Source organism: Homo sapiens, chromosome 5, assembly GCF_000001405.40.
Source record: "Homo sapiens chromosome 5, GRCh38.p14 Primary Assembly".
Lineage (NCBI taxonomy): Eukaryota > Metazoa > Chordata > Mammalia > Primates > Hominidae > Homo > Homo sapiens.
Window position 1 is genome coordinate 138,114,021 of NC_000005.10, and position 25,498 is coordinate 138,139,518.

At 41.5% G+C, this 25,498-nt stretch overlaps 1 protein-coding gene, 1 non-coding gene and 2 pseudogenes across 10 annotated transcripts, besides 1 other annotated feature; 1 reads left to right on the forward strand and 3 right to left on the reverse strand.

Annotated features, from left to right (window-relative positions):
* Window positions 1-1,154: 1,154 nt before the first annotated feature.
* On the reverse strand, window positions 1,155-25,408 carry NME5 (NME/NM23 family member 5). Of its 9 annotated transcripts, none has more exons than NM_003551.3 (6): window positions 25,351-25,408; window positions 24,632-24,765; window positions 15,243-15,448; window positions 14,459-14,559; window positions 4,798-4,916; window positions 1,155-1,744 (listed from the first exon to the last, which is right to left on the reverse strand). In NM_003551.3, the coding sequence occupies exons 2-6, from the start codon at window positions 24,758-24,760 to the stop codon at window positions 1,661-1,663; spliced, it is 639 nt and encodes a 212-aa protein (NP_003542.1). In that variant the 5' UTR covers window positions 24,761-24,765; window positions 25,351-25,408; the 3' UTR covers window positions 1,155-1,660. The 9 variants fall into 9 exon arrangements, with proteins under 9 accessions (NP_003542.1, XP_047273762.1, XP_024301996.1 ...); XM_017009945.3 differs by having other exon boundaries at window positions 1,533-2,582; XM_047417804.1 differs by having other exon boundaries at window positions 1,533-2,582; window positions 24,959-25,408.
* LOC124901208 (small nucleolar RNA U13) lies at window positions 1,182-1,284 on the reverse strand. Its single transcript, XR_007059172.1, has one exon. It is a non-coding gene; the product is annotated as a small nucleolar RNA U13 (small nucleolar RNA).
* On the forward strand, window positions 2,553-2,660 carry RNU6-460P (RNA, U6 small nuclear 460, pseudogene; annotated as a pseudogene).
* RNU6-888P (RNA, U6 small nuclear 888, pseudogene) lies at window positions 9,014-9,091 on the reverse strand (annotated as a pseudogene).
* Window positions 18,466-18,666: a silencer, noted in NCBI's record as "peak5489 fragment used in MPRA reporter construct". NCBI's record gives its function as "represses an SCP1 promoter by STARR-seq MPRAs in K562 erythroleukemia cells {active_cell/tissue: K562}" and the evidence as "EXISTENCE:reporter gene assay evidence [ECO:0000049][PMID:32103011]".
* Window positions 25,409-25,498: the final 90 nt, after the last annotated feature.

Genomic DNA, 25,498 nt, shown 5'->3' on the forward strand with positions numbered 1-25,498 from the left:
CAGTGGCGCGATCTCGGCTCACTGCAAGCTCTGCCTCCCGGGTTCACGCCATTCTCCTGCCTCAGCCTCCCGAATAGCTGGGACTACAGGCGCCTCTGCCACCGCGCCCAGCTAATTTTTTTTGTATTTTTAGTAGAGACCGGGTTTCACCGTGTTAGCCAGGATGGTCTCGATCTCCTGACCTCGTGATCCGCCCGCCTTGGCCTTCCAAAGTGCTGGGATTACAGGCTTGAGCCACCGCGCCCGGCTTATTTTTCGTAATCTTAATGTTTCTTTTAATCACAAAAGTAGTTACATAAATGCTGTAGAAAAATTTAAAATACAGCTAAGCAAAAGAAGAAAAATAAAATATTTCTACCATCCAGAGATTATAGATAAAAACACTTGAGTGGGTATCCTTCTACATGTTATTCTATACACATTTATTTATTCATTTTTTAATCTAAATGAGAACACATGGCTGGGCACAATGGCTCATGCCTATAAACCTAACACTTTGGGAGGGCGAAGCAGGAGGATTGCTTGAGCCCAGGAGTTTGAGACCAGCCTGGGCAACATAGCGGGACCCTATCTTATTAAAACAAACAAAAAAAACCAAAACCAAACCAAAACCAAATGGGCGTACACTGTGCATATTGCTTTGTAACATACTTTTTTTCAGCTAACAATCTTTCTGTTTTCACATTTTCTTACATTATACTTTCTTTTCTCTTTTTTTTTTTTTTTTTTTTTGAGACAGAGTCTCGCTCTGTCACCCAGGCTGGAGGGCAGTGGTGCGATCTCGGCTCACTGCAAGCTCCGCCCCCTGGGTTCACGCCATTCTCCTGCCTCAGCCTCCCGAGTAGCTGGGAATACAGGCGCCGCCACTACGCCCGGCTAATTGTTTGTATATTTAGTAGAGACGGGGTTTCACCGTGTTAGCCAGGATGGTCTCGATCTCCTGACCTCGTGATCCACCCGCCTCGGCCTCCCAAAGTGCTGGGATTAGAGGCGTGAGCCACCAAGACCGGCCGTGATTGTGGTTTTTGCCATTGTTTTTTAATGACAAAAACCATAATTGCTTTTGCACCAGCCTAATAGTTATCCAAGTGATTAGTTTAAGATCATCCCCTGGTTCTGGCCATTTTCATTGTACCAAAAAATTACTTATATACTTACACCTTTCTATTTTTTATTTTTTACATCAAACAGGTAATGTGATGATGCTGTAACAAGGTTTGAGGGAAGCATATCTGACACATGAGCATGAAACCAAATCACCATGCTTATGGACTACAAAAGGACCTAAGCCTTTTAAACTAGACTGTCTCAACTGTGCATTAATTATGTATTTAGATATAGGATATGTGCTTGGGAAAATGTATAACTAAACTTTATGTCTTACTTCTCAAACTTAAGAAAAACAAAAACATCTAGCAACATCTTACATGAGTTTTCCATTACCTAGTGTTACATCATTGTTAAAATCATACTCTAAGCCTATATTTTACCTTAATGTTATCTGCTTCATAGAATAGTTATTCCTTTAACACTTATTTTTAAGAAATAAATTTATTTTACTTGTAGTTACTTAAACCCTAGAAATAATTTTTTCAAACAGTAGAAGTACAGCCTTTTATAATAAGATAGTTCATGATTTGTTCTTTCGAGGATTTTTTTTTTAATAAGGTTCTTCTACAATTGGATGGTGACAAAGTTTGGGTTTGTTAGGATTATTTTTCAGCAGCCAATCAGCTAGCCAAATCTATGGGAAAAAAAAAAACAACCTAAGTTAAGAAACAGTTACATATTTCCTTTCAATATATACTATATCAATTGGAAACTTAAACAGTTTTCAAAATCACTTTAAGAAAATGACCATTAAAAATGGAAACATTTGGATTTACATTATGCAAGATTGTCAAGAATAGATCCAAACTGGCAAGAAAGAAGTAAAACTATCTCTTTTCACAGATGGCATAAACCTACATGTGGAAAACCCTAAGGAATTTACAAGGAAGCCACTACAGCTAATAAATTCAGCGAAGATGTAGGTTACAATACACAAAAATCAACTGTATTTCTATACATCAGCAATGACAGTCCAAAAAAAAATTTTAAATCACTTTCATTTACAGTAGCATAAAGACAAATAAAATGCCAAGGGATAAATTTAACCCAAGAAGCGAAAGGCTTATACATTAAGAACTGTAGAACATTGCTGAAAGAAATTAAAGAATACCTAAATAAATGAGAAGACATTATTTTTCATGGATACGGAGATTTGATATTGTTAAGATGTCAATACTTCCCAAAGCAATCTACAGATTCAGTGCAGCTCTTGCCAAATGTCCAACAAGTTTTTTTGCAGAAATGGAAAGCCAATCCTCAAATTCATATGAAATTGCAAGGGGCTCTGAGGAGCCAAAACAATCATGAAAAAGAACAAAGTTGGAGGACTGATTTGTACTCTCAATTTCAAAACCTTCTACAAAGCTACAGTAGTCAGCACAGTGTGGTAATGACATCCTTATGCCAGACATGCAGACCAATAGAATGGACCTGAGAGTCCAGTGCTCTCTTCGGCAGCACATATACCAAAACTGGAATGATACAGAGAGATTATTAGCATGGCTCCTGTGCAAGGATGATGCACAATTTATTAAGCATTTCATATTTTAAAAAAAGAATGAGAATCCAGGAATAAACCCACGCATCTATGGTCAACAAATTTTTGACAATGGTACCAAGCCCATTGGTACCACTGGACTTGGAGAAAGAACAGTCTCTTCAACAGATGGTACTAGGACAATTGGATTTCCACATGCAAATGAATAAAGTTGGACCCCTATACCACACCATATACAAAAATGAACTCACAATGGACCAATGACCTAAATATAAGAGCTTAAACAATAAACATCTTAAAAGAGGCCAGTGACTCACACCTGTGATCCCAATACTTTTGGAGGCCGAGGTAGGAAGATCACTTGAGACCAGGAGTTCAAGACCAGCCTGGGCAACATAGGGAGACCCCATCTCTACAAAAAATTTTAAAAATTAGCTGGGTGTGGTAGTGTGCTCCTGTGGTCCCAGCTACTTGGCAGCCTGGTGCACAAGAATCACTTGAACTCAGGAGGCAGAGGTTGAAGTGAGCCGAGATGGCGCCACCAGACTCCAGCATGGGGAACAAAGACCCTGTCTCAAAAAAAAAAAAAAAAAAAAAAGGAAAGAAAAAAAATCTTAAAAGAAAACATAAAACACAGGGGTAAATTTTCATGACCTTGGATTTGGATTTCACAATGGATTCTTAGACATGACATCAAAAGCACAAGAAATAAAAGAAAAAATAAATAAATTGGATTTCATCAAATGAAAAATGTTTATACATTAAAGGACATTATCAAGAAAGTGAAAAGACAACCTACAAAATGGAAGACAATATTTGCAAATCATATATCTAATAAGGGTTTAACATCTAGAAATACAAAGAACTTTAACTCAACAAAAAGACAACCCAGTTTAAAAATGGGCAAAGGACTTCAATTTGAATAGACATTTCTTCAAAGAAGGTATACAAATGGCCAAGAAGCTCATGAAAAGATGTTCAACATTAGCCATTAGGGAAATGCAGATCAAAACCACCGTGAGAAACCATTTTGTGTTATCTACTAGCATGGCTACAAAAAAAAAGAAAGATAGGTCGGGCGCGGTGGCTCACACCTGCAATCCCAGCACTTTGGGAGGCCAAGGCAGGTGGATCACCTGAGGTCAGGAGTTCGAGACCAGCCTGGCCAACATGAAGAAACCCTGTCTCTACTAAAAATACAAAAATTACCCGGGCGTGGTGGTGTTCGCCTGTAAATCCCAGCTACTCAGGAGGCTGAGGCAGGAGAATCACTTGAACCTGGGGGGCGGAGGTTGCAGTGAGCCCAGATTGCGCCTCTGCATTCCAGCCTGGGCAACAGAGTGAGACTCCGTCTCAAAAAATAATAATAATAAATAAATAAAACACAGCAAGAAAATAATAAGTAATCAATAATTATACATATCTAACATGTATATGAAATACCTTCTAGAAATGTTTATTTTAAAAAGGTTCTCAATATTTGCAGTATTTCATTTATTTACTTATTTATTTTTTGAGATGGAGTCTCGCTCTGTTGCCCAGGCTGGAGTGCAGTGGCACAATCTCGGCTCACTGCAAGCTCCGCCTCCTGGGTTCACGCCATTCTCCTGCCTCAGCCTCCCAAGTAGCTGGGACTACAGGCACCCACCACCACGCCCGGCTAATTTTTTATATTTTTAGTAGAGATGGGGTTTCACCGTGTTAGCCAGGATGGTCTTGATCTCCTGACCTAGTGATCCACCCACCTCGGCCTCCCAAAGTGCTGGGATAATAGGCGTGAGCCACTGCGCCCAGCTATATTCGCAGTATTTCAAAGACACAATGTCTTAAACGTGAAAACTACAGACAATTTATAGAAAAAAAAATTTTTTTTTTGAGATGGAGTCTTGCTCTGTCACCCAGGCTGGAGTGCAGTGGCACAATCTCGGCTCACTGCAACCTCTGCCTCTGGGTTCAAGTGATTCTCCTGCCTCAGCCTCCTGAGTAGCTGGGATTACAGGCACATGCCACCACGCCCAGCTAATTTTTGTATTTTTAGTACAGACGGGGTTTCACCATGTTAGTCAGGCTGGTCTCAAACTCCTGACCTCGGATCCGCCCGCCTTGGCCTCCCAAAGTGCTGGGATTACAGGCATGAGCCACCACGCCTGGTGACAATATTCTTAAGTGTGAATAAAAATATTTCTTACCAAAGGATCTGCTGGTTTTTGCTTACAAAGCTCTGTGAGTCCTTCAAGCAGAGTTGGCATTATATGTAAATTTAAATAGTCCTTAGCAGCTTGTCCAATTGGAATGGGCTCAACAATCACTGCAAATACAAATGTATTCTCATTGATGCAAACATAATGATTAAATACTATACAATCATTAAAAAGGTTCTTTTTAAAGAACTTTTCTCTATTTTTTTATATGTTTTTTTGAGATGGAGTCTTACTCTGTTGCCTGGGCTGGAGTGCAATGATGCAATCTCAGATCACTGCAACCTCCTCCTGGGTTCATGTGATTCTCCCACCTCAGCCTTCCGAGTAGCTGGGACTACAGGTCCGCATCACCACACCCTGCTAATTTTTGTATTTTTATTTATTTTTATTTTTTGAGACAGAGTCTCGCTTTGTTGCCCAGGCTGGAATGCAGTGGCACAATCTCAGCTCACTGCAACCTCCAACTCCTGAGTTCAAGTGATTCTCCTGCCTCAGCCTCCTAAGTAGACAGGAGTGTGCCACCATGCCTGGCTAATTTTTGTACGTTGAGTAGAGGCAGGGTTTCACCATGTCGGCCAGGCTGGTCTCAAACTCCTGATCTAAGGTAATCCTCCTGTCTCGGCCTCCCAAAGTGCTAGGATTGCGGGCATGAGCCACCATGCTCGGCCCTAATTTCTGTATTTTTAGTAGAGATGGGGTTTCACCATGTTGGCCAGGCTGGTCTTGAACTCCTAACGTCAAATAATCTGCCTGCCTCAGCCTGCCAAAGTGCTGAGATTACAGGCATGAGCCACTGCAACCAGCCTGTTTTCTTTTTCTTTTCTTTTCTTTATTTTTTTTTTTTTGAGACAGAGTTTCACTCTTGTCACCCAGGCTGGAGTGCAGCAGCACAATCTCAGTTCACTGCAACCCCGTCTCCCAGGTTGAAGCAATTCTCCTGCCTCAGCCTCCTGAGTAGAACCAGCCTCAGTTTTCAGTTGGGATGTTTCTCTTATTATTTAGACATAGGAGTTCTTTATATATTCTAGTTACAAGTTCTTTATATTATTTGGTGATATTTTTTCCCAGTCTGTTGCCTACCTATCTTTTCATATTTTTAAAAATTTAACTTCTATTTTTTTTTTTGACACAGGGTCTTGCTCCGTTGCCCAGTCTGGAGTGTGGTGGTGTGAGCACAGCTCACTGCAGCCTCGAACTCCTGGGCTGAAGCATCCTCTGGCTTCAGCCTTCCAAGTAGCTGGGCCTGCAAGTGTGTGCCACCACACCCAGCTTTTTTTTTCTTTAAGTGTTTAGAGACAGGGTGTCACTCACGCTGGTCTCAAACTCCTGGCCTCAAGCAATCCTCCCACCTCAGCCTCCTGAATAGCTGGATTTACAGGTGCAAACCACTGCTCCCAGCTCTTTTTTTTTTTTTTTTTTTTTTGAGACAGAGTCTTTCTCTGTCGCCAGGCTGGAGTGCAGTGCCGCGATCTTGGCTCACTGCAAGCTCCGCCTCCTGGGTTCACGCCATTCTCCTGCCTCAGCCTTCTGAGTAGCTGGGACTACAGGTGCCCGCCACTAATTAGTCCGGCTAATTTTTTTGTATTTTTTAGTAGAGACGGGGTTTCACCATGTTAGCCAGGATGGTCTTGATATCCTGACCTTGTGAGCCGCCTGCCTCGGCCTCCCAAAGTGCTGGGATTACAGGCATGAGCCACCGCGCCCAGCCTCTTTTCACATTCTTAATGATGTCCTTTGAAGCACAAAAGCTTTTAATTTGATTTAGTCCAATTTATCAATATTTTCTTTTATGGATCTTGCTTTTGATGTCATTTTAAGAAGTCTTTGTCCAACTCCAGTTACAAAGATTTTCTTGTTTTCTTTTAGATGTTTTTACATTGAAGTCTGTGATCCATTTTGAGTTAATTTTTGTGTATGCTATGAAACAAGGGTCTAAGTTCTTTTTGTTTTTATGTGACTATCATGCTGTCCTAGCACCATATACAGACTTTCCTCAATTTACATGGGTTACATCCCAATAAACCCATCATAAGTTGAAAGTATCAGTAAGTCAAAAACACATTTAATACACCTAGCCTATTGAACATCATAGCATAGCATAGCCTACTTTAAATGTGCTCAGAACACTTACATTAGCCTACAGTTGGGCAAAATCATCTAACACAAAGCAAATTTTATATAAATAACATTTTCTATATAATATACATATATTATGAGCTGGGCACAGTGGTTCACACTTGTAGTCCTAGCTCCTTGAGAGGCTGAGGCAGTAGGATTACCTGAAGCCATGAGTTTGAGACCATCTGGGCAACAAAGCAAGACTCTGTCTCTTAAAAAAAAAAGATATATATATATATCATTTTTGGGGGAGGATCTCTTGAGGCCAGGAGTTCAATACCAGCCTGGGCAATATGGCGAGACTGCCTTTCTACAACAAAAAAATTCAAAAAGTAGCCAGGCATGGTGGTCTATGCCTCTAGTCTCAGCTACTCAGGAGGCTAAGGTGGGAGAATGCTTGAGCCCAGGAGGTCAGGCTGTAGTGGGCACCACTGCACTTCAGCCTGGGTGACAGAGAGACACCCTGTCTCAAAAAAAAAGGAAACCAAAATAGAATGGTTGTATGGATACTCGCCATTAATGTACACAGCTGAAAGCACCATAGTAAAGTCAAAAAACTGTAACTTGAACCATGGTAAGTTGGGGACTGTATTGGCAAGACCATCCTTTTCTCACTGAATTGTCTAGGCACCTTTGTTGAAAGTGAATTGACCATAAGTGTAAAAGTTTACTTCTAGATCCTCAATTCTGTTCCAATAATCTATATGTGTATCTTTATATCACTGTCATACCGTCTTATAATTGTGGCTTTGCAGTAAGTTTCAAAATCAGATAGTGGAAGTCTTCCAACTTTGTTCTTCTTTTCTAAAATTGAATTATTTGCAATTTTGCTAAATTTTAAACTCAGCTTGTCAATGTCTACGTAAAAGTATGCATGGACTTTTAAAAGGATTACATTAAAATTTTCTTTAAATTTTTTTTTTCTTGTAGAGATGAGGTCTCACTTTGTTGCCCAGGCTGGTCTCCTACTCCTAGACTGAAGCAATCCTTCTGCCTCAGCCTCCCAAAGTGTTGAGATTACAGGAATGAGCCACTGCACCCAACCCAAAACTGTTAATTAATTTAGAAAGAATTGCCATCTTAACAATATTGAGTCTTCCAATCCATTAATATGGAATATCTATTATTTATTTTAAAATTTATCTCAGCAATGTTCTTTGTTTTTCAGTGTACAAGAATTGCACTTTCATTAAATTTATGCTTAAATATGGCCGGGCGTGGTGGCTCACACCTGTAATCCCAGCACTTTGGGAGGCCAAGGCGGGTGGATCACCTGAAGTCAGGAGTTTGAGACCAGCCTGCCCAACGTGGCGAAACCCTGTCTCTACTAAAAATACAAAAAATTAGCTGGGCGTGGTGGTGGGCGCCTGTAATCCCAGCTACTCGGGAGGCTGAAGCAGGAGAATCGCTTGAACCCAGGAGGCAGAGGTTGCAGTGAGTTGAGATCGGGCCACTGCACTCCAGCCTGGGTGACAAGAGCGAAACTCTGTCTCTAAAAAAAAAAAAAAAAAAAAAAAAAAAATTGTGCCTAAATATTATATTATTTTTAATGTCATTGTGAATGGAATTTTCCTTTTTACAGCTTTATTGAAGTATTACTCATGTACACAAAATTGCACACAATTAATGTATACAATTTTTTCTCAATATGGGCAAATGTTTTATTCATATATTATATAAAGTTCATTATGCCAATTTATCAGGTACTAATCATTAAACAAAAATTTTTTTAATTTTTTTTTTTTTTTGAGACATGGTCTTGCTCTGTTGCCCAGGCTGGAGTGCAGTGGTGCGATCTCGGTTCACTGCAACCTCTGCCTCCTGGGTTCAAGCAATTCTCCTGCCTCAGCCTCCTGAGTAGCTGGGATTACAGATGCATGCCACTATGCCAGGCTAATTTTTTTTTATTTTTAGCAGAGATGGGGTTTCACTATGTTGGCTAGTCTGGTCTCGAACTCCTGACCTCAAGTGATCTGCCCATGTCAGGCTCCCAAAGTGCTGGGATTACAGGCATGAGCCACCACCCCTGGTCCCCCAAATTTTTTTTAACTTATAAGTGTACTTAAAATTTCTTTTTATTTTAAAAGCATGTCATCCTTGCATAGGGGCCAAGCTAATCTTCTCTGTATCGTTCCAATTTTAGCATATGTGCTGAAGTGAGCACAACAAATTTTTTAATAGATAAGAAATATTGTATACATTTATTGTGTACATGTTGTTTTGAAATATGTAAACACTATGGAAAGACAAATCAAGCTAATTAATATATGCATTACCTCAAATACTTATCTTTTTTTGTGGTGAGAACACTTAAAATCTACTGTCTTAGCAATTTTCAACAACACATTATTATTAACTATAGTCACCATGTTGAACTTATTCCTACTATCACAGGAATAAGTATCCTTTGATCAACATTTCCATCCCCTACTCTCTCTTGCAAGCTCCTGGTGGCCACCATTCTACTCTCCGAGTTCAAGTTTTTTTAGATTCCACATATAAGTGAGATCATGTGATATCTGTCTTTCTGTGCCTGGCTTATTTCACTTAATATAATGTCCTCCAGGTTCATCCATGTTGTCAAAAATGACAGAATCTCTTCCTTTTTAAGGCTGAATAGTATTACATTGTGTATATACACCACATTTTCTTTATCCATTAACCCACTGATGGACACTTAGGTTGATTCCATATCTTGGTTATTGTGAATAATGCCACAATGAACATTATTGTGGTTCATTGGTGCAGGTATCTCTTCAAGATCCTGATTCAATTCTTTCAGATATATATATCCAGCAGTGGGATTGTTAGATCATGTAACAGTTTTATTTTTAGTTTCTTGAGGAACTTCCATACTGTCTTCCATAGTGGCAGCACCATTTTTAATCTCCACCAAATGTGTACAAGCATTCCAATTTCCCTATATGCTTGCCAATATTTACCTTTTTTTCTTTTGATAATAGCCATCCTAACGTGTGAGGTGATATCTCACCGTGGTTTTGATCTGTATTTCCCTGATGATTAGTGATTTTGAGCACTTTTTTTTTTTTTTTTTTTTTTTTTTTTGAGATGGAGTCTTGTTCTTGTTGCCCAGGCTGGGGTGCAATGGCGCGATCTTGGCTCACTGCAACCTCCACCTCCTGGGTTCAAGTGGTTATCCTGCCTCAGCCTCCCGAGTAGCTGGGATTATAGGCACGTGCCACCACACCTGGCTAATTTTTTGTATTTTTTTTTTAGTAGAGACAGGGCTTCACTTTGTTGACCAGGTTGGTCTTGAATTCCTGACCTCAGGTGATCTGCCAGCCTCGGCCTCCCAAAGAGCTGGGATTACAGGCGTGAGCCACCACACCCGGCCTTAAGCACCTTTTCATATACTTGTTGGTTATTTGTATGTCTTCTTTAGAAAAATATCTATTCAAGTCCTTTGCCCATTTTTTAATTGGGTTATTTAGGGGTTTTTTGGATATTGATTTGTAAGAGTTCCTTATATATTTTAGACATTAACCCCTTATCAGATACATGGTTTGCAAATATTTTCTTCCCTGGAATTGTTTTCTTAATTTCATTAGTGAATTATTCATTTATTTATTTATTGAGAGGGTCTCACTCTGTCACCCAAGTGAAGTACAGCAGCGCAAATGCAGCTCACTGCGGCCTCGACCTGCTGGGCTCAAGTGAATCTCCCACCTCAGCCTCCCAAGTAGCTGGGACCACAGGTGTACACCACCACCCCCAGCTAATTTTTTTATTTTTGGTAGAGACAGGGTCTTGCCATATTGCCCAGGCTGCTCTCAAACTTCTGGGCTCAAGCAATCCTCCTGCCTCTGCCTCCCAAAGTGTTGGGATTACAAGTGTTAGCCACCATGCCAGGCTAGGGCTGAATAAATTAATGAGAGAATAAAAAGAGTGTTTTCATGTTTCTTACATGGATGAACTTTAAGTTTTTTAAGTTTTCTCTCATCCTTGTTTTATTTATTTATTTGTTTGTTTGTTTGAGACAGGGTCTCACTCTGTTGTCCAGGCTGGAGCACTCTGGTGCCATCACAGCTCAAACAGCCTTAACCTCCTAGGCTCCAGTGATCCTCCCACTTTAGCCTCCAGAGTAGCTGGGACTACAGACATGGGCCACCATGCCCAGCTAATTTTTTATTTTTTGTAGAGATGAGATCTTGCTATGTTGCCCAGGCTGGTCTCCAACTCCTGGACTCAAGTGATTCTCCCGCCTCAGCCTCACAAAGTGTTGGAATCACAGGTGTGAGCCACCACACCCAGACTGTATATTTATTTTCAAATATAATCATTTTGATAGCAGGGATATCTTCTTATTCAGCTTTGCATTTATGGCAAATAGTAGGCAACTTAATAAATTTGTTGAAGAAATGGAATATAGCAAAACTTTGAATTAGCCATTTATATTAAAAGGGAAAAGAGACCAGCCTGGGTAATGTAGTGAGACCCCATCTCTACAAAAAAATTAAAAAATTAGCCGAGCATGGTGGTACACACCTGTAGTCCCAGCTACTCAAGGGGCTGAGGTAGGAGGATTGCTTGAGGACAAGAGTTTAAGGTTGTAGTGAGCTATGATTGCACCATTGCATTCCATCTGGAGTGACATGGAGAGACCCTGTGACCACCCCCCAGAAAAAAGGGAAAGAAGAGAGCATTACTTTTTTCTTTTCTTTTCTTTCAGACAGTCTCACTCTGTCACCCAGGCTGGAGTACAGTGGTACAATCTCGGCTCACTGTAACCTCTGCCTCCCAGGTTCAAGTAATTCTCCTGCCTCAGCCTTCTGAGTAGCTGAGATTACAAGCGTGCGCCACCACGCCTGGCTAATTTTGTATTTTTAGTAGAGACAGGGTTTTACCATGCTGGCCAGGCTGGTCTTGAACTCCCAACTTCAAGTGATCCATCCGCTTCAGCCTCCCAAAGTGTTGTGATCACAGTTGTGAGCCACCACGTCCAGCCAGCATTACTTTTTTCAAGGGTTAAGAACATGCCTTTAAATATCTTGATAACTTGCTTGAGTGAATCATCGTATAAAGTTTTGCACATAGTTGTTCATCAACTGCTAAGTAAGAGGACGCTCATACCACAAACTCTGAGTACTTGCTCCAAAGAACTTCACAGCAAAAGAGCTACAATGTGCTAAGTAATTAATGATTTTATATTTATCCTACAACTTGCTGCTTCTCAAATGTCTAACTATATCTCTAAACTCATGCCTAGCGGATTAATTTAATGAGTAAAATCAAAGGCAACTGAAAATAACAGTTGGCTGGGCACAGTGGCACAGTGGCTCATGCCTGTAATCCCAACACTTTGGAAGGCAGGTGGGAGTATTGCTTGAGCCCAAGAGTTCGAGACTGGCCTGGGAAACATGGCAAAACTCCGCTTCTACAAAAAACTTGAAAAACTAGCCAGGTGTGGTGGTGCACACCTGGGGTTCCACCTACTCCAAAGGCTGAGGTGGGAAGATTACTTGAGTCTGCGTGGTCAAGGCTGCGGTGAGCTGTGATTGTGCCACTGCACTCTAGCCTGGGCAACAGAGTGAGAATCTATCTCAAAAAAAAAAAAAAAAAAAAAAAAAAGAAAGAAAGCGAAAAGAAAGAAAATTACAGTTTAGGAATATAATCCTATGAGTAAGAAGAGCTTCCAAATATACCTTCTATTTAAGATAAAATGAAATTTTATCCTGTTTTATTTAAAAGCTAAAGAGAAGTCAGGCATGATGGTTCATGCCTATAATCCCAACATTTTGGGAGGTAGAGGCAGCAGTATTGCTTGAGCCCAGGAGTTCAAGACCAGCCTGGGCAACGTAGTGAGATTTCATGTCTATAGAAAATATAAAAATTAGCCGGGCGTGGTGATATGCGCCTGTGGTTCCAGCTACTCAAAGGCTGAGGTGGGAGGATCACTTGAGCCCAGAAGGTCGAGGCTGCCATGAGTCGTGATCATGCTACTGCACTCCAGCCTGGGTGACAGACTGAGACTCCATCTCAAATAGATAAATAAATAATAAAAGCTAACGAGCAAAAGTCTAATTCACTTGTAAGACTAATATAAAGTGCTACCATATTAAAAAGACCTCTCGCTGGGCACGGTAGCTCACTCATGTAATCCCAGTGTTTGGGGAGGCTGAGGCAGGAGGACTGCTTTGAGAAAAAATATATATTTCTAAAAGTGGTTTTTGTTTGTTTGTTTAAGAATCAGGGACTTTTCAGACTGTACAGAAAGGAGGGAAGCAGGTCTTCCCCTGGGAGGATGACTGAAAGGCCAGTGGAGAAAAGTTGTCAGCCCATTGTCAGGTCAGCATCAGGCCGTTACCGACCCTGTTGGCACTAAAAAGTAACAGATCAAGTATTCAAAATGTGAAATGTATTTATTTTGAATTCAGAAATTCAAACAACAGTGATACTGTTGTATCACATCAGTTATTCAAAACATGTGAAATCTCCAAAAAAAAGAAAAAAAATATATCAGGAACTTTTAAATCTCCAAGACAGTTTTCTGTTTTATTTGAATGAATATCCAGTGGAAAATACTGAGGAACAGATCTAAATGACTTAGGGAAAAATAAGTCATAACAGGAAAAATAACATACTAAAAAAATCCAAAATTTTGCTCAATGCTTTGCATTTTTTTCCTTATAACAAAAATCACCAAATTTTATTTCTGCTCTAAAAATATTAAAAACAAACCAAAAACTTCAGTGTTCTTCCTCGTATGTCCACTTCTCAAAGGTTTACAACTTCTCTAACAGTAAGGAAACAAAAAAAGGGACTAGTTATTAATTTCTCAATTGCATGAGACTTTGTTAGGCAAACAGTAAATTGTTACAGAAGACGGTAAATCAAATGTAGTTTCCTAGAGAGACTATTTTTCTCATGTGTCACAAACTCTACTGAACCTTTCAGGATAACTAGAAAGAACTGTTACACAGAAGAATATGTCTAATGCAAGAGAAAAGAAAGAAAAAAGAATTAAGCTGGGTGTGGTGGCTCACACCTGCAATCCCAGCACTTTGAGAGGCCAAGGCAGGCAGATTACTTGAGCACAGGCATCTGAGAGTATGCTGGGCAATACGGAGAGACCCCATCTCTCCAAAAGATAAAAGAAAATTAGCTGGGCATGGTGGCATGCACCTATAGTCTCAGCTACCCGGGAGGCTAAAGTGGGAGGATCACCGGAGCCCAGGAGTTTGAGGCTGCAATGAATCAAGATTGTGCCACTGCACTTCAGCGTCGGCGACAGTGAGACACTGTCTTAAATTTTTTTAATGTTAAAAATAGATAAATAAATAAAAATTAAACACTTCTCAAAAGACTCCCTAAAGGGCACAATTTAGTTGTTAGGGAAATGTCAAGTTTTCCATTTGTGGCTTCAAGTTTTTAAGTAACTACAACTTGAAAACATAACAAAATATACTGGAAAAAAAATTATTTTATCTTCCTTCCCAGCTATATCCGCAAAATAAAAGAAAAAGCAAACAATAAGGAGATGCAGTTGACAAGTTAGTCATCTGTAACTCACCTTCAGGAAACATAAAACGTATTTCTCTTTCCGCAGCAGCAAAGTCATTACTCCCATGAAGTGCATTCCTTAGGTCATCTGTGCCATAAATTGCCCTCAGACTAAAAACAAGTTAGAGATGACGTCCATCCAATCTAACGTCTATTCCTTACTTTATATGCATGCATTCCACTTAAGAATTTTACAAAAGCATTGCCACTTCTTACATATGAAAGCTTCACAATTTATGTCAAATTTAAGCTTAAATTTAAGCTTATCTATCTAGATAAGGATCAAATATATTTACGTCTGCAGGAGGAATACACTGAGAAAATAGGAGTTCTCTGGATAAAAACGTGGTGTTGTTTTGTGAGAAGTAAAAAAGCAATGCACATTCAAAAGTGCAAGAACTCAATATCTTCTTGTTTCCATACATTAGCAATAATGCTGAAAATTTGAATTTCTGTTCCTGTATTACCATTATTCTTTTAAAATACCATTCCAATTTTTCCATCTAAAAATCCTACTTCAGTGGCAGTTTAAAGGTTGAGAGAATAAGGGTAATCAACTATAAATCAGACATTCTCTGTTGCTTTTTCTGGTAGGTAGTATTAAAATAGACATTTAACACTTTAAAATGTAAAATGGACCCCCCAGGCCCTGCCACCCTCTGCCCCCCAAAAAAGTTGATTTTGGAAAACTTCCAAATAAAAAAAAAATTCCCATTACAATGAAATCAGATTTTTTTTTTTCATTTTCACAGATGGATTCCATTCCCTGCCATCCCCCAAACCCTGAAAATTACCTGTCTGGATGTGTCTCCTTCGCTACTAAGCTATTATTTGGTCCCAAAAGTTCTAACCAATAAGAGATGGCTTTATGTCTAGCTAATATCATGGCGACAAGTGGTCCAGAACTCATGTAAGCTGTTAAGTTGGGGAAAAACATTTTTCCATACTTTTCCACATAAAAGTTACTACATTGCTCAGGGCTGAGGCGTAGTTTTCTTCTCTATAAAAGACACAAAGTCAACAAAAGCATTTAAAATGACAGTTCAATGATAGCTCATTAAAATCATTAGTAACTTGAAACTAGTACCAATCTGATTATAACTTCAAGGTTTATCTTTGTATTATGAAGAAAGAAAAGGATATAATTAAATGTATGCTGTAAATAAGATAGTAAGAGGAATTACTTAGCCTACTTAAGAAAAATTATGGCCGGGTGCGGTGGCTCATGCCTGTAGTCCTAGCACTTTGGAAGGCCGAGGTCGGTGGATTGCCTGAGCTCAGGAGTTCGAGACCAGCCTAGGCAACACAGTGAAACCCCGTCTCTACTAAAATTCAAAAAATTAGCCGGGCGGGCGGCATGCGCCTGTAGTCCCAGCTACTCGGGAGGCTGAGGCAGAAGATTTGCTTGAACCCGGGAGGCGGAGGTTGCAGGGAGCCAAGACTGCACCACTGCACTCCAGCCCGGGCGACAGAGAAAAAGAAAAATTATTCCAGTTAGGAAGCCTCCCTCAGCATATGTTTTGTCAGTAACAAATTTATCGCATCTCCTTCTTAAAGTAAATAACACTTCAATTAACAAAACTGGACTTAAAAATATTCCAAATTCATGTTTCTCTATTTGTGTTACTATTTTGGGAGCTGGTCTCATTTTAGTACTTAGAAATAACAGCTAGGCACAGTGGCCCATGCCTATAATCCCAGCATTTTGGGAGGCCAAGGCGGAAGGATCGCTTCATCCCAGCCAGGAGTTAGAGACCAGCCTAAGCAACGCAGGAAGACTTTGTTTCTATGAAAAATTTTAAAATCAGTCGGGTGTGGTGGTGTGCGCCTGTAGTCCCCACTACATTAGAGGTGGTGAGCCATGATAACACGACTGCACTCCAGCCTGGGCGATAAAGCAGACCCTGTATCAAACAAACTAACAAAAAAAGTAACATGTAGTATAATGATGCAGTAAAAAGTTTTTCATTTGAACGTGTGTTCTTTATTCTGGTTCTGTCATAAATATCTTGATTCACTGTAACATTAAGAAAAATTAGGCCAGGCATGGTGGCTCAGGCTTGTAATCCCAACACTCTGGGAGGCCAAGACAGGCAGATCACTTGAGGTCAGGGGTTCGAGAACAGTCTGGCCAACATAGTGAAACCCCATCTCTACTAAAAATACAAAAATCAGGCCAGGCGCGGTAGCTCACGCCTGTAATCCCAGCACTTTGGGAGGCCGAGGTGGGTGGATCACCTGAGGTCAGGAGTTCGAGACTAGCCTGGTGAACATGGTGAAATCTCGTCTCTACCGAAAATACAAAAAATTAGCCAGGTGTGGTGGCACGCGCCTGTAGTCCCAGCTACTCGGAAGGCTGAGGCAGGCCAACAGCTTGAACCCGGGAGGCAGAGGTTGCAGGGAGCCAAGATTGCACCTCTCCACTCCAGCCTGGGTGACAGAGCGAGACTCCGTCTAAAAAAAAGAAAAAAGAAAAATTAGGTCGGGTGTGGTGGCTCATTCCTGTAATCCCAGCACTTTGAGAGGACAAGGCAGGTGGATCACCTGAGGTCAGGAGTTTGAGACCAGCCTAGCCAACATGGTGAAACCCCATCTTTACTAAAAATACAAAAATTAGGCCAGGCGCAGTGACTCACGCCTGTAATCCCAGCACTTTGGGAGGCCGAGGTGGGTGGATCACCTGAGGTCGGGAGTTCAAGACCAGCCTGGCCAACATGATGAAACCCCGTCTCTGCTAAAAAAAAAAAAAAAAAAAAAAAAAAATTAGCCAGCCGTGGTGGCGGGCACCTATAATCCCAGGTGCTTGGGAGGCTGAGGCAGGAGAATCACTTGAACCCGGGAGGCAGAGGTTGCAGTGAGCCAAGATCGTGTCACTGCACTCCAGCCTGGGCAACAAGAGTGAAACTCCGTCAAAAAAAAAAAATACAAAAATTAGTAAGGCGTGGTGGTGCATGTCTGTAATCCCAGCTACTCAGGAGGCTGAAGCATGAGAATTGCTTGAACCCAGGAGGCAGAAGTTGTGGTGAGCCAAGATTGAGATAGCACCATTGCACTCCAGCCTGGGTAACAGGATGAGACTCTGTCTAAAAAAAAAAAAAATTAGATGCTAGTATGTTTCTCAATCTGAAAGAGTATGAAACACTCTGGACAAATAGATGTTATTTCCTTCACAAATGAGACTATAAAAATTAATCAGGTTTAAAAAATCATGGTAGCTCAGTCTAATTTGAAACTCATGCTTTCTCTAGAAGCAGCTATTTTGAGTGCTTTTTTTTTTTTTTATTTTTTTGAAACGGAGTTTTGCTCTGTCACCCAGGCTAGATAGAGTGCAGTGGTGTGATCTTGGCTCACTGCAACCTCCACTTCCTGGATTCAAGTGATTCTCCTGCCGCAGCCTCCTGAGTAGCTGGGATTATAGGTGCCTGCCACCATGCCTGGCTAATTTTTGTATTTTTAGTAGAGACAGGTTTTTCGCTTTGTTGGCCAGGCTGCTCTTGAACTCCTGACCTCAGATGATCTGCCCACCTTGGCCTCCCAAAGTGCTGGGATTACAGGTGTGAGCCACCGCGCCCGGCCTTGAGAGCTTTTAAAAAATTATTTATTACTGCTGGCCAGGCTCGGTGGCTCATGCCTCTAATCCCAGCACTCTGGGAGACCGAGGCAGGCGGACTGCTTGAGTCCAGGAGTTCAACACCAGCCTGGGCCACACGCAGAAACCCCGTCTCTACAAAAAATACAAAAATTGGTGGTGCACACCTGTAGTCTCAGTTAATCGGGAGGCTGAGGCACGAGAATTGCTTGAACCCAGGAGGCAGAGGTTGCAGTGAGCCGAAATCATGCCATTGCACTCCAGCCTGGGCAACAGAGTGAGACTTGGTCTCAAAAGAAAAAAAAAATTATTTATTACTGCTGTTTTTTCAATTCCACTAAAGGTGGGTGAGGAGAGAAAATGCTCAAAATATAACAGAGGGATTCAAAGTAGAAATCAAAGAACCTCTGCCTGCAGTAAGGATGATGAAAAATGGAGATATGTCACTAAGTGAAGGCTAAAAATCTCCATGATTATGGCAGAAATCTGTCTTTCTAAAATGTCTTAGATTTTCCTGAGAGTAAGTGTGAATTTTACCAAGTAACTCACCTCTTAAAGCCCTTTCCAAAATTCCGTGTCTCCGCAGGCTTCAGAAACTTGGTAAAATTGCTTGGTTTGTAGCAAGGGACCAAACCGCCCAGAGCAAGAAGTTTAGGAACACGCTTACCTAGGTGGCATAGCTCTGCTATGAATAGGACCCACTGGATTCTCACCAGTGAAGGGCCAGTTACTATGAAAAAGGTGCTGACATTTGTTCTCAAATTGAAATTCATACAGCGATTAAATAAAAGATGTGAGAAATTACAAGAGCACCTGATTTAGCATAATCCTCCATTCTATTATCTAAAATTAAGACATGAAACTATGATTATGCGTATTAGCGTTTTTTTTTTTTGTTTTTTCTTGCTGAGTTTAAAAATAAAATCTCATCTGTTGTAATGTAAGCCCTTATCTGCCACTTGCCCCTTAAAAAGCAGGGGAACCTACCTTCTGCAGGTATGCCAGCCAATGTAGCACAATTTTTAAAATTAAGGGTTCATCTTTTTTTTTTTTTTTGAGACGGAGTCTCATCTCACTCTGTCCTCCAGGCTTGAGTGCAGTGGCGCGATCTCGGCTCACTGCGAGCTCCGCCTACTGGGTTCACGCCATTCTCCTGCTTCAGCCTCCGGAGTAGCTGAGACTACAGGAGCCTGCTACCACGCCCGGCTAATTTTTTTTTTTTGTATTTTTAGTAGAGACGGGGTTTCACCGTGTTAGCCAGGATGGTCTTGATCTCCTGACCTCATGATCTGCCGCCTCGGCCTCTCAAAGTGCTGGGATTACAGGCGTGAGCCACCGCGCCCGGCCTTAAGGGTTCATCTTTAAATAAAATTGATACTAAATCAATTATTCCATTGGTTGCTTTAAAACTGGATCAGGTGAAATTTTTTGAAATTAGGTTGAATAGTCTACAGCCATACCACCCTGAACACACCCGATCTCATCTGAAATTAGGTTGAATATTTTCACAGAGAAGCAGTGATACCAAGTACTATCAGAACAGAACTCTTAGTTTGTAACAAAGGCAACACTGCCATCTACTGAAATGACATATCATTTTTCAGCTTTTCCCTTAAGTGGGACAGGAAAGCCTCAAGTTCATTGGACTCCCAAGCCTATTTTAAAAGCATACAGTGCAAAGGACAAAACTTGCATAATTTCACTTAAATTAGATAGCTTGAATAGTCAAATTCCTACAGACAGCAAGTAGAATAGTGGTTATCGGGGATGGGGAAGAGGGAAGCAACGAGTTAGCATTAGGTAGAGTGTTTCAGTTTAAGATGAAAAGGTTCTAGAAATGGACAGTAGTGATGGTTGTACAACAATGTGAATGTACTTAATGCAACTGAAATGTACACTTAAAAACGGTTAAAATGGTAAATTTTATGTTGTGTATATTTTACCGCAATTAAAGCAAAAAATGAAGGATGTACCATGGCTGCCTTTGCTCTGAAAGTTACTAACTAGGGAAAGTGTCATATATATTTACATTAAATTTTTTTGTTTGTTTGTTTTTTCTGGTCTCAGTACATTGCCCAGACAATCTCAGTTCACTGCAACCTCCGCCTCCCGGGTTCAAGTGATTCTCCAGCCTTGCCTCCTGAGTAGCTGGGATTACAGGCATGCGCCACCACGCCCAGCTGATTTTTGTTTGTTTGTTTTTTGAGATGGAGTCTTGCTTTGTTGCCCAGGCTGGAGTGCAGTGGTGAAATCTCAGCTCACTGCAACCTCCGCCTCCCAGATTCAAGCGATTCTCCTGCCTCAGCCTCCTGAGTAGCTGGGATTACAGGCTCCCACCACCACGCCCGGCTAATTTTTGTGTTTTTAGTAGAAATGGGGCTTCACCATGTTGGCCAGGCTGGTCTCGAACTCCTGACCTCAGGTAATCCACCCACCTCGGCCTCTGAAAGTGCTGGGATTACAGGCATGAGCCACCGCACCCAGCCCTAATTTTGGATTTTTAGTAGAGATAAGGTTTCACCACATTGGCCAGGGTGGTCTTGAACTTTTGACCTCAGGTGATCCACCCGCCTCATCCTCCCAAAGTGCTGTGATTACAGGATTGAGCCACCACGGCCGGCTAATTTTTAATTTATAATTAACACTAGCCACTTAATTATTAAGTTTGTCACTTTTTTTTTTTTTTGAGACGGAGTCTCGCTCTGTCACCCAGGCTGGAGTGCAGTGGCGCGATCTCAGCTCACTGGAAGCTCCACCTCCCGGGTTCACGCCATTCTCCTGCCTCGTAGCTGGGACTACAGGTGCCCGCCACTGCGCCCGGCTAATTTTTTGTAGTTTTAGTAGAGACGGGGTTTCGCTGTGGTCTCAATCTCCTGACCTTGTGATCTGCCCGCCTCGGCCTCCCAAAGAGCTGGGATTACAGGCGTGAGCCACCGCGCCCGGCCGTCACTAAATATTTTTTAAAATATGGACTTTTTTGGCCGGGCATAGTGGCTCACGCCTGTAATCCCAGCATTTTGGGAGGCCGAGGCAGGTGGATCACAAGGTCAGGAGATCGAGACCATCCGGGCTAACACAGTGAAACCCCGTCTCTACTAAAAATACAAAAAGTTAGCTGGGCGTGGTGGAGGGTGCCTGTAGTCCCAGCTACTCGGGAGGCTGAGGCAGGAGAATGGCGTGAACCTGGGTGGCGGAGCTTGCCGTGAGCCGAGATTGCGCCACTGCACTCCAGCCTGGGCGACACAGAGCGAGACTCCGTCTCAAAAAAAAAAAAAAGGACTTTTTTTTCTTTTTCAAGACAGAGTCTCCCTCTGTCGCCCAGGCTGGAGTGCAATGGCACGATCTTGACTCACTGCAACCTCCGCCTCCCGGGTTCACGCCATTCTCCTGCCCCAGCCTCCCCAGTAGCTGAGATTACAGGCACGTGCCACCACACCCAGGTAATTTTCATATTTTTAGTAGAGACGGGGTTTCACCATGTTGGTCAGGCTGGTCTCCAACTCCTGACCTCAGGTGATCCACCCGCCTTGGCCTCCCAAAGTGCTGGGTTTACAGGCATGAGCCACTGCACCCGGGCAAAATACGGACTTTTAAAAAACTTAAATGGGACGCCTTTATCTGTATACTTCATTTATTTTTTCTAAAGTTAATGGGTAATATAATTACAGGATTCAAAAATTCAAAGCAAGACAAAAAGGTATATACTGAAAAATCTTATTCCTATCCATTTCCTAATCTACTCAGTTCTTCCTTGCCCTCAATAGGCAACCCTTTTTAAATGTTTATTTCCCCAGAATTCCATTTTTCAAATATTGGCAAACATGAATATATTACTTTGTCTCTATCACAAAAGGTTGGTACACATGATTTTGTGTTTTTTTTGCTATTTTGTTCTTTTTGCTACACACTTTGCTTTCTTCCGTTAACAGTACAGACAGGTTCCTCATTCTTCTATTTACAATTAGTTGCATATTATGCAATTTGATGGGTTTTCCAGAGTTTATTTAGTCCTGTCTCCCAATCTCCCAACCTGGGTTATTTTCAATCTTTTGTTGATAAGTAAACAATGCTGCAAAAAATAACCTGCATATATATCACTTCATATTAATACAGGCACCTACTGATGGGACTAAACAGGGCTCTGCGCATGACAGGTAGTAAGAGCACAAGGAATTCTATAGGACAGATTTCCAAGAGCAGAACTGCTGGATCAAATGGTAAGTCCATCTGTTGTATTGGTAGATAACTGCCAGATTCCCTTTGATAGGGGTTGTGCCATTTACTTTTATATTTTTGCCAAATGGAATCTCAGTGTAGTTTTAACTTGCTTTTTTTCCCACCTAAAGATTGAGCATCTTTTCATATATTTAAAAAATGTTTTTCCTTTTCTGTGACCATCCATCTGTTCTGCCCATTTTTCTACTAATTTATTTTTATCTTTTTCTAGGAGCTCTTTATGTATTAAGAAGACAAGCCCTTTGTCTATGAGTTGCAAATCTTTTTCCCAAGTTTGTTGTGTTTTGACTTTGCTTATGGTGTTTATTTCATTGTGCAGAAATTTTTTGTTTATATAATCTTTTTTTAAATTAAAAAAATTTTTTTTTTCGAGAGTTTCGCTCTTGTTGCCCAGGCTGGAGCACAATGGCACGATCTCGGCTCACGGCAACCTCCGCCTCCCATGTTCAAGCGATTCTCCTGCCTCAGCCTGCTGAGTAGCTGGGATTACAGGCATGCGCCCCCACGCCTGGCTAATTTTGTATTTTTTAGTAGAGATGGGGTTTCTCCATGTTGGTCAGGCTGGTCTCAAACTCCTGACCTCAGGTGATCAACTCACCTTGGCCTCCCAAAGTTTTGGGATTACAGGCATGAGCCACCGTGCCTGGCCTTGTTGATATAATCTTATCAATCTTTTCTTCCATGGCTCCTAGACCTTAAGTCATAACAAAAAAAAAAAAGGCTGTCCTACTCCAACAACAAAATAAATCCATTATCTTTTCTTCCTGAACTTACATGGTTTAATTTTTTTAATATGTAGATCTCAGGTTTATTTGGAGTTTATCCTGGTATATAATACTTGATCCAAATTTTTCAGTGGCTACCAGTTTTCCTAACATTTACTAAAAAGTTATTTACCTGAGTCTTTAATCATATTAAATACTTCCTAACACTTTCTTGTGCCATCCCTACTCTCGGACTCCACCTGTCCTTTGAAGCTCAACTGAAATTCCGTATCTTTTCTGAAGATTGATATTTTCTCTTTATTTATTTATTTATTTTTTGAGACAGATCTCCCTCTATTGCCCAGGCTGGAGTACAATGGCGTAGTCTTGGCTTACTGCAACCTCTGCCTCCTGAGTTCAAGCGATTCTCCTGCCTCAGCTTCCCAAGTAGCTGGGACTACAGGTGCACGCCACCACGCCCAGCTAATTTTTGTATTTTTCATAGAGATGGGGTTTCACCACATTGGCCAGGCTGGTCTCAAACTCCTGACCTTATGATCCACCCATCTCGGCCTCCCAAAGTGCTGGGATTACAGGCGTGAGCCACCGTACCCGCCATTTTCTCTTTATTTTTAAAAATACTGACTGAATAAGCAATATGACACTGTATAAATGGGAGAAAATAAAAAATTGGAAGTTCGAATGAGAATACTGTAAAAGAGGCGGGGTGCAGTGGCTCACACCTGTAATCCCAGCACTTTGGGAGGCCGAGGCGGGTGGATCACGAGGTCAGGAGTTCAAGACCACCCTGGCCAACATGGTAAAACCCCGTCTCTACTAAAAATACAAACATTAGCTGGACATGGTGGTGCATGCCTGTAATCCCAGCTACTCAGGAGGCTGAGGCAGGAGAATTGCTTGAACCGGGACCTGGAAGGCAGAGGTTGCAGTGAGCCGAGATCGTACCACTGCACTCCAGTCTGGGCTACAGAGGGAGACTCTGTCTCAAAAAAAAGAAAAAAAAACTATAAAAGAGGAAGATTAAAAATATTCAATTCTATTTGATTTATCCTTAACAATGCTATTTATATTCACTTTCAAACCCCTAGAATGACAATGTTTACTAATTGCAGAACATAAGGCTTAAAACATTAAATGTTATGCCATAACTGAAAAAAGTACCAATAGCCTAAAATTCCATCAATAGAAGATCAAGTAAATAAATTGTAGTTCTAATACACAGGGAAATATTACACAGAAATTAGGAAGAGTGAGATCAATTCAGATGCAATGATCTGGAATCCTATCTGAGGGACTCTGTAAAGGGGTCAAGGGAAAGGGACTGTTCTGTTTTATGGGGGGAAAATGTTTATAAATGCATAGAAAACTCCTGGAAGAACAGAAAGTGTTAAGTGGTTGCCTCTCTCTGGAGCCTGGGACTTGGGGTAAAAGAGGACAGGTGAAGGAAAAGTCCATTTTATTTCTCATTTTACATCCTTTTAAAAACTATCACATATAACTTTTATACTTAGAAGAATAAACTTAAATTTAATGCTGAACACTAAGGGTTTAAATGGGTAGGCACATTTACATAAGCATTTTTTTTTTAAGGGCAGAGAGGAAAAAAGCATGAATCATCATACCCAGAAGTTACCTGAACAATGGTGAATCCGGATCTAAGAATAATATCTTGTATCTCCTCCTCTTTGTCAACAATATCTGGTTTGATAATGGCCAGAGTTTTTTCTACATATATCTGAGGTGGAGGCATTGATATCTCCATTATGGCTTTTCAGGGCACAAATTAAGAGTTTCTTAACAGGTATCAACTGCAATGACATGCATTTCCCCCCACCCCCATCGCAAATTCAATGTAATTATGATTAAGAATAGCAATAGTAGGTACTTGATTTTATTAACTGATGAAGGTAGAAACTGCCATGTTTTTCTATATACAGGGTCTCAATAATAGGATTCCTACTATGTCCAAATCGAGCCCCGGCTTTTCGTATACGATGTCACCAAGGCAGGAAGGACTATGGGCTCACATAACCAGAGGCCAAGGGGCGACCCGAAGGCCTGGAACCAGCAACAGCCCCAGGCAGCAGAGGGCGGTGGGGCGGGTGGTGGGGGCTCGAGGGGGCGGTAGAGCGGGTGGTGGGGGCTCGAGGGGACGGTGGCTGGTGGGCAACCACACACCATTACAGCGGCGGGTGAGCGGCCTCGGCCAGCTGCCTCTGTGAAGCGACCCTGTCCCGCAGGGACCTCTCTGTGCATAGGGTCAGGCTAATTGAAAAGCAGGGCCTCTAGGTCCGCGGGGACTTTCCGGGTTGCACCTGCAAATTCTGAATTTGACCCTCTCTAAGTACTCACCTCAGCGGCCGTCCTCATATGGTACAACTTGTTGCTAGGAGACCTGAAGCCCCAGCGTGGGGACGGTGGCTGCAGAGAGCCAATCCCAGCAAGGAACCTTGCAGCTTCTGGCCAGTTCGTTTTAACCAAAGGGAGCCAGCCAGTCACT